The following is a 9187-nucleotide window of genomic DNA, read 5'->3' as shown; positions in this document are numbered from 1 at the left end:
GGCATGATCACAGCTCACTGCAGCCTCGAACTCCTGGGTTCAGGTGATCCTCCTGCGTCAGCCTCATGCGTAATTGGGATTACAGACTACAGGTACACACCACAATGCCTGGCTAGTTTTTTTTTTTTTTTGTAAATGATTTGTAAAGATGGAGTCTGGCTATGTTGGCCAGGCTGGCCTTGAACTCATGGTCTCTAGCAATCCTTCCACCTTGGCCTCCTAAGGTTCTGGGATTACAGGTGTGAGCCACTGCACCTGGCATAAAACTCAGGGTTCTGACAGTAGGAAAGAAAAAGATGGATAAGGCATTGGGTACATCACCACAGGGGGCTGCCACAGCTAGGAACAAGTCTCCCCAGACTAACCTTGCCTCTTCTTGGGTAGGCTTGGTCAGGGAGGTGGCAGGAAAGCTCTGAGTGTCCGGGTTTCATTTCAGCAAGACCAGAGGGCAAATGCAGGCTTCGGTGATGTGAGCGGGCTTGGTGGAGCAGTTATCCCCAGGGAGTAGCAGACGTGGTCCTGTCCATCTGGAGGAAGCTCTCTATCTGCCATCTGCCATGGCCAACATTTCTATGTCAGAATCTACAAAACCAGTGGAGACAGAGATAGACCTATCAAAAAGGCAGGTGCCACACTGAGTGACAAGTTATTAAAATAAGTCTTAAAAATAATGTATCAGCTGTGAAACTAAAACTGCTCTCAAAAATTGTGTTAATCCAGGTATGGTGGCACGGCCCTATAGTCCCAGCTACTTGGGAGGCTGAGGCGGGAGGATCACTTGAGCCCAAGAATTTGAGACCAGCCTGGGAAACATAGTGAGACCTTGTCTCAAAAAGAAAAAAGAAAAAAAAGTGTCAATTTTAAAACAGTTGCTCAAAAATAAATGTCATTAAAGTCATACCAAAAAAAATGTAAAACATGTACACAACCTCATCCCAGAAAGTCTGTCACTGGGCTTAAAAGAGGACAGTCAGCGGGTACAGTGGCTCACACCTGTAATCAAGCACTTTGGGAGGCTGAGGTGGGCAGATTACCTGAGGTCAGGATTTTGAGACTAGCCTGCCCAACATGGTAAAACCCCATCTTTACTAAAAATACAAAAATTAGCCAGCATGGTGGCACGCACCTGTAGTCCCAGCTACTCGGGAGGCTGAGGCAGAAGAATTACTTGAACCCAGGAGGCGGAGGTTGCGGTGAGCAGAGATTGTGCCACTGCAGGACAGAGGCACAGGACAGAGGCCACTGCAGGACAGAAAAAAAAATACCAGCCTAAGCAATATAGTGAGACCTTGTCTCTACAAAAGATTAAACAACAACAAAAAAAATTAGCCCAGCACGGATGGCACCTACGGTCCCAGCTACTCGGAGCCTGATGTGGGAGGATTGCTGGAGCCCAGGAGGTCAAGGATGTAGTGAGCTTTTTTGTTTTGTTTTCTTTTGGTTTTGTTTTTTTTCATTCTTTGAGAAGCTGTGAATGACATGTAGTGAGCTTTGATCGCTCTGCTCTCCAGCCTGGGTGACTCACAGAGCAAGACCATGTCTCAAAATAATAATAATAATAACAACTAGGTAGGAAATCTTAAAACATCTATGCCCGAGTCTGGGCGCAGTGGCTCACACCTGTACTCCCAGCACTTTGGGAGGCCGAGGCAGGTGGATCACAAGGTCAGGAGTTCGAGACCAGCCTCGCCAGCATGGTGAAATCCTATCTCTACTAAAAATACAAACAATTGGCCGGGCATGGTGGCACACACCTGTAATCCCAGTTACTCAGGAGGCTGAGGCAGGAGAATCGCTTGAACCCAGGAGGTGGAGGTTGCAGGGAGCCAAGATCGTGCCACTGCACTCCACTAGGGGACAGAGTGAGATTCCATCTCAAAATAAATAAATAAAATAAAATAAATTTTATTTATTTTATTTAGGCTGGGCATGGTGGATCACGCCTATAATCCCAGCACTTTGGGAGACTGAGGCAGGCAGATCACCTGAGGTCGGGGGTTCGAGACCAGCCTGACCAACATGGAGAATCCCTGTCTCTACTAAAAATACAAAATTAGCCAGGCATGGTGGTGCATGCCTGTAATCCCAGCTACTTGGGAGGCTGAGGCAGGAGGATCGCTTGAAGCCAGGAGGTGGAGGTTGCAGTGAGCCAAGATCGTGCCATTGCCCTCTATCCTGGGCAACAAGAGTGAAACGCCATCTCAAAAATAAATAAATAAGTAAATAAATAAATAAATAAATAACATCTATGCCCATATAGAAAGTATGGGGAAATTCTGCTATACCCAGCACATGAGGGACAGATTTGAGAAACTCAGTCGACTCTCAAGTTCATGATAAAATTACTAATACAATGATTATATATAATGGAAAATAGCCAAAAATGCAGTCCAGTGTATTAGGATTTTCAGACAACAGAACCAATAGCACATATATATGTTTGTGTATGTATGTTGGTGTGTGTATATGTGTGCATGTGTATATATACGTGTGTGCATGTATATGTGTGTGTGTGCATATATATATATGGGGCTATAGTCGCAACTAATTGGGAGGCTGAGGTGGGAGGATCACTTGAGCCAGGAATATGAGACAAGCCTGGGAAACATAGTGAGATTTATACACACACACACACACACACACACACACACACATATATGGAGATTTATTATGAGGAATCAGTGTTTTTTTTTTTTTTTTTGAGACGGAGTCTCGCTGTGTTGCCCAGGCTGGAGTGCAGTGGTGTGATCTTAGCTCACTGCAACCTCCGCCTCCTGGGTTCAAGTGATTCTCCTGCCTCAGCCTCGCAAGTAGCTGGGACTACAGGCGCGTGCCACCACACCCGGCTAATTTTTGTATTTTTAGTAGAGACAGGGTTTTGCCATGTTGTCTAGTCTGGTCTTGAACTCCTGACCTCAAGTGATCTGCCTCGGCCTCCCAAAGTGCTGGGATTATAGGTGTGAGCCACCATGCCCAGCCCAGTTGATTTATTATGAGGAATTGATTATGGAGACTAAGAAGCACCATGATAAGCTAGAGAGACGGACAAGCTGGGGGCGCCATTCAGTCTAAGTCCAAAGGCCTGGGAACTGGAGGAGCTGATGATGTAAATCCCAGGAGATGAGATGAAATGTCTCAGCTCAAGTGGTGAGGCCGGAAGAAAGGGGGCAATTTCTTTTGTTCCCTTCAGGCCCTCAACATATCGAAGGACACCCACCCACATTGGCCAGAGCAATCTACTTTGCTGTCTACCGACTTATTTATTTATTTATTTTTGAGACAGAGTCTCTCTCTGTTGCCCAGGCTGGAGTGCAGTGGTGCAATCTCGGCTTACTGCAACCTCTGTCACCCGGGTTCAAGCGATTCTCCTGCCTCAGCCTCCTGAGTAGCTGGGATTACAGGCGCCTGCCACCACACCTGGCTAATTTTTGTAGTTTTAGTAGAGATGGGGTTTCACCATCTTGGCCAGGCTGGTCTTGAACTCCTGACCTTGTGATCTGCCCGCCTTGGCCTCCCAAAGTGCTGGGATTACAGGCATGAGCCACCACACCCAGCCGAAATAATGTGGGGTTTTTTGTTTGTTTGCTTGTTTGTTTTGAGACAGAGTCTCACTCCATCACCCAGGCTAGAGTGCAGTGGCACAATCTCAGCTCACTGCAACCTCTGCCTCCTGGTTTCAAGTGATTCTCATGCCTTAGTCTCCTGAGTAGCTGGAATTACAGGTGCATGGTAACATGCCTGGCTAATTTTTATATTTTTAGTAGAAACAGGGTTTCAGCCGGTTGCAGTAGCTCACACCTGTAATCACAGCACTTTGGGAGGCTGAGGCGGGCAGATCATGAGATTAGGAGATCAAGACAATCCTGGCTAACACGGTGAAACCCTGTCTCTACTAAAAATACAAAAAATTAGCCGGGCATGGTGGCAGGTGCCTGTAGTCCCAGCTACTCGGGAGGCTGAGGCAGGAGAATAGTGTGAACCCGGGAGGCGGAGCTTGCAGTGAGCGGAGATCGCGCCACTGCACTCCAGCCTGGGCGACAGAGCATGACTCCGTCTCAAAAAATAAAGAAACAGGGTTTCACCATGTTGGCCAGGCTGGTCTCAAACTCCTCAAGTGATCTGCCCTCCTCAGTCTCCCAAAGTGTTAGGATTACAGGCGTGAGCCACTGCCCCTGGCCAGAAATAATGTTTAATCTGGGCACCCCGTGCCAGTCAAGTTGACACATAAAATTAACCATGGCACTTACTTCATATTGATAGAAGTATAATGTCTCCCATCCCAGCCTCCCATACAGGCTCATGCCTGTAATACCAGCACTTTGGGAGGCCGAGGCAGGTGGATCACCTGAGGTCAGGAGTTTAAGACCAGCCTGACCAACATGGAGAAACCCCATCTCTATTAAAAATACAAAATTCGCTGGGTGTGGTGGCGCATGCCTGTAGTCCCAGCTACTCAGGAGGCTGAGGCAGGAGAATCGCTTGAACCCGGGAGGCGGAGGTTGTGGTGAGCCGAGATCGCGCCATTGCACTCCAGCCTGGGCAACAGGAGCAAAACTGTCTCAAAATAATAATAATAATAATAATAATAAAAGAGAAGTATAATATCTCCCAAGGAAAGCAATGGGCACTGCATTGGCTACATTCATTGGTCATTCATTCATTCTTTCACTAAATGTGTCCCAAGGGCTGCTCTTTGCCAGCCTTGGTTCAAGGTCCTGGGAATAGAGATGCCCAACCTTCTTGTCTTCCAATGAGAATCCACAGAAAAGTGTGGGAGAGAGCGATGCGCTTGAGAGTCTGGGAACTGGAGGCAAGAGGGTCATTCTGATAAAGGAAGAAGGAGTGAGTGAGATTTGAGGAGGAGGTGTTTGCTGGGCCCCAGGGAAGGCATTGGCATTCCTGGCAGCTGGAGCACTGAAGACATGGAGATCTGACCTACCTAGTGGGAGGGTGTGAGAAGTGACAGTGGGTTGATGTGACCAGCCTGGGAGAGGAACCGGTAAGACAGCCAGAAACAAGGCTGGAAAGTAAAGCAAAAGTCAGATGGGGGGGCCTTTGTCTGTCAGACCAAGGTCTGTGAATTTGGTTCTGCAGAAGATGGGAGTGGGAGGCCGGGCACAGTGGCTGATGCCTGTAATCCCAGCACTTTGGGAGATCAAGGTGGGCTGATCACCTGAGGTCAGAGGTTTGAGACCAGCCTGACCAACGTGGTGAAACCCCGTCTCTACTAAAAATACAAAATTAGCCAGGCGTGGTGGCACATACCTGTCATCCTAGCTACTCGGGAGGCTGAGGCAGGAGAATCACTTGAACCTGGGAGGAGGAGGTTGCGGTGAAGCGACGTCGCGCCATTGCACTCCAGCCTGGGCAACGAGAGCTAGACTCTGTCTCAAAAAAAAGAAGATGGGGGTGGGAACCCCTGATTCCCCTGATTGGTTTTAACTGCAAGGTAGCTGTCACCTGTCCTGGAAGGTGAGGTTCTGTCCTGGGTCATTCTTGGAGAGCCAGGGACTGGTGACACTTACTGATCATGCCCATCATAGACTGAGCTTTCTTTGTGCTGGGCCCTGTGCTAAGTAAGTACCTTCCTTCTAACAACCTTGAGGTTGGAAATGTTTCTCCTTTCATTTCACTTTGGAGGCCAAAGAAGTGTGAGTGACATGCCTAGTGACCCTATTGGCTTCTTCTTTCTTTCTTTTCTTTTTTTTTTTTTTTTAAATAGAGATGGGGGTCTTTCTATGTTGTCGAGCCTGGTTTCAAGCTCCTGGACTCAGGCAATCCATCTGCTTCTGACTCCCAAGTGCTGGGATTAGACGTAAGCCACTGCCCCCAGCCCCCAACCCCGACTTTTATTTTGTGAGACAGGGTCTCACTCTGTCACCCAGGCTGGCGTGCCGAAATCACGGCTCACTGCAACCTCTGCCTCCTGGGCTCAAGTGTTCCTCCCACCTCAGCCTCCTGACTAGCTGGGACTACAGGCATGCGCCACCACGCCTGGCTAATTTTTGTGGGTTTTTTTGTTTGTAAAGATGGGATTTTGCTATGTTGGCCAGGCTGGTCTCGAACTCCTGGGTTCAAGCTATCTACCTGCTTTGGTGTCCCAAAGTGCTGGGATTACAGGCATGAGCCACTGCACCTGGCCAACTCTATTGTTTTTAATAATCATATTAACAATAACTGTTACCATTTGTTGAGCCCTCATTGGGTGCTTTACTGCATAATCTCAAGTGCCACAGCCCTGCCAGCTGTGCAATATGAAGGTCAATTATACAAGAAGCAGGGCCGGGCGTGATAGCGCATGCCTGTAATCCCAACACTTTGGGAGGCCGAGGCAGGCGCATCACCTGAGGTCAGAAGTTCAAGACTAGCCTGGCCAACATGGCAAAATTCCATCTGTACTAAAAATACAAAAATTAGGCTGGGGGCGGTGGCTCACGCCTGTAATCCCAGCACTTTGGGAGGCCGAGGCGGGCGGATCACAACATCAGGAGATGGAGACCATCCTGGCCAACATGGCGAAACCCCACCTCTACTAAAAATACAAAAATTAGCCGGGCGTGGTGATGCATGCCTGTAGTCCCAGCTACTCCGGAGGCTGAGGTAGAATTGCTTGAACCTGGGAGGCGGAGGTTGCAGTGAGTGGAGATTGCGCCGCTTCACTCCAGCCTGGGCCACAGAGCGAGACTCTCTCTCAAAAAAGAAAAAAAAAATTAGGCTGGGCGCGGTGGCTCATGCCTGTAATCCTAGCACTTTGGGAGGCTGAAGCAGGTGGACCACCTGAGGTCAGGAATTTGAGACCAGCCTGGTCAACATGGTGAAACTCCATCTCTACTAAAAATGCAAAAATTAGCCGGGCATGGTGGCATGTGCCTGTAATTCCAGCTACTCGGGAGGCTGAGGCAGGGAATTGCCGGAACCCGGAGGTGGAGGTTACCACGAGCTGAGATTGTGCCACTGCACTCTAGCCTAGGTGACAGAGTGAAACTCTGTCTCAAAAAAAAAAAAAAAAAAAAAAAGGCTGGGCGCAGTGGCTCACGCCTGTAATCCCAGCACTTTGGGAGGCCAAGGCAGGCTGATCACGAGGTCAAGAGATTGAGACCATCCTAGCCAACATGGTGAAATCCTGCCTCTACTAAAAATACAAAAATTAGCTGGGCGCGGTGGTGTGCACCTGCAGTCCCAGCTACTCGGGAGGCTGAGGCAGGAGAATTGCTTGAACCTGGGAGGAGGAGGTTGCATTGCAATGAGCCAAGAACGCGCTACTGCACTCCAGCCTGGCGACAGAGAGAGACTCTGATTCAAAAAAAAAAAAAGTTTTTTTTAATAGAGACAGGATCTCATTATGTTGCCCAGGCTGGTCTTGAACTCCTGGCTTCAAGCGATCCTCCTGCCTCAGCCTCCCAAAGTGCTGGGATTCCAGGTGTGAGCCACTGCACCTGGCCAACAGCCACCACTGTTGAGGGAGCTCTTGGAGTGCAACTTGGTGTGTGTGGTCTCATTTGTTCTCGAATGAACCCTGTGATATAGGCGGTCTTATCCCCATTTCACATGTGGAGAAACCGACTGCAGCAGGACAGAGCTGCCTGCTGGATTTAAAGCTACAGGGCAGGGGGCAGGTGGACTTTGAGCCCAGGTGTGTCCCTGGGCTTCCTGTTAGGCCCAACTCCAGGTGGTCCTCAGGGAGCTGAGGATTGGAGGGTAGTGGAGAATGCCTGATCCCCATCACAACCTGTCCTGGCTCCTCCTGCCTGTCTGTTCCTAGGTCTGCCATGGCACTCTGATGCCCTGGAATGGAAGGGACCTCTAGGCTCTGCCTGCTTGGCCCTGCCCTACCTCTGCCTGGCTTTGCCCACTCTGCCCTCCACTGTGGAGAGAAGGGGGTGAGGATTCCTTTCCCCTCCAAGAGCCAGCTGGGGAGTCAAAGGGGAAGCTTTTGCTAAGCACGTACTATGTGGCTGCTAAGTGCCTTACTTTCCTTATCCCACTTAATAGGAAGTCTTTACTAAGCAGGACTTATGATTCGTTATCCCCATTTTACAGATGAGGGAAACTGAAAGCCAGGGAGGTCTTATAAAAATCTCTGGCCAGGCGCGGTGGCTCATGCCTACTGTAATCCCAGCACTTTGGGAGGCCGAGGCGGGCAGATCACTTGAGGTCAGGAGTTTGAGACCAGCCTGGTTAACATGGTGAAATCCATTTCTACTAAAAATACAAAAAATTAGCTGGTCGTGATGGCGCGCACCTGTAATCCCAGCTACTCAGGAGGCTGAGGCAGGAGAAGCGCTTGAACCCAGGAGACAGAGGTTGCAGTGAGCTGAGATCGTGCCATCGCACTCCCGTTTGGGCAACAAAAGCGAAACTCCGTCTCAAAAAAAGAAAAAAAAAGAAAAAAAAATTTCTGCCAAGGGGCCGGCAAGGTGGCTTACGCCTGTAATCCCAGCGCTTTGGGAGGCCGAGGTGGGCGGATCACTTGAGGTCAGGAGTTCGAGACCAGCCTGGTCAACATGATGAAACCCCGTCTCTACGCCGGGCATGGTGGCTCACGCCTGTAATCCCAGCACTTTGGGAGGCCAAGGCGCGTGGATCACCAGGTCAGGAGATTGAGACCATCCTGGCTAACATGGTGAAATCCCGTCTCTACTAAAACATACAAAAAAATTAGCCAGGTGTGGTGGCGGGCGCCTGTAGTCCCAGCTACTCAGGAGACTGAGGCAAGAGAATGGCATGAACCTGGGAGGCAGAGCTTGCAGTGAGCCAAGATCACGCCACTGCACTCCAGCCTGGGTGACAGAGCAAGACTCTGTCTCAAAAGAAAAAAAAAAAAAGAAAGAAAGAAACCCCGTCTCTACTAAAAATACAAAAAATTAGCTGGGCGTGGTGGTGTGTGCCCGTAATCCCAGCTACTCGGGAGGCTGAGGCAGGAGAATCACTTGCACCCGGGAGGCGGAGGTTGCAGTGAGCAGAGATCATGCCATTGCACCCCAGCCTGGGCGATAGAGTGAGGCTCCATCTAAAAAAAAAAGAAGAAAAAAACCTCTGCAAAGACTCTCTGTGATGTCTACTGTTGAGTGAGAGCTGAGAGGTTGAGAGGTCAGGACAGCAGTGAACATCTTCCACTTTGGAGACCACTTGTAGCAGTGAAGGGCCCAGCCAGGCCCTGAGGGCATCCCTGGTGCCACTTTGCCCC

Source organism: Homo sapiens, chromosome 17, assembly GCF_000001405.40.
Source record: "Homo sapiens chromosome 17, GRCh38.p14 Primary Assembly".
In the NCBI taxonomy this organism is placed as follows: domain Eukaryota; kingdom Metazoa; phylum Chordata; class Mammalia; order Primates; family Hominidae; genus Homo; species Homo sapiens.
This window is presented reverse-complemented; position numbering follows the sequence as displayed.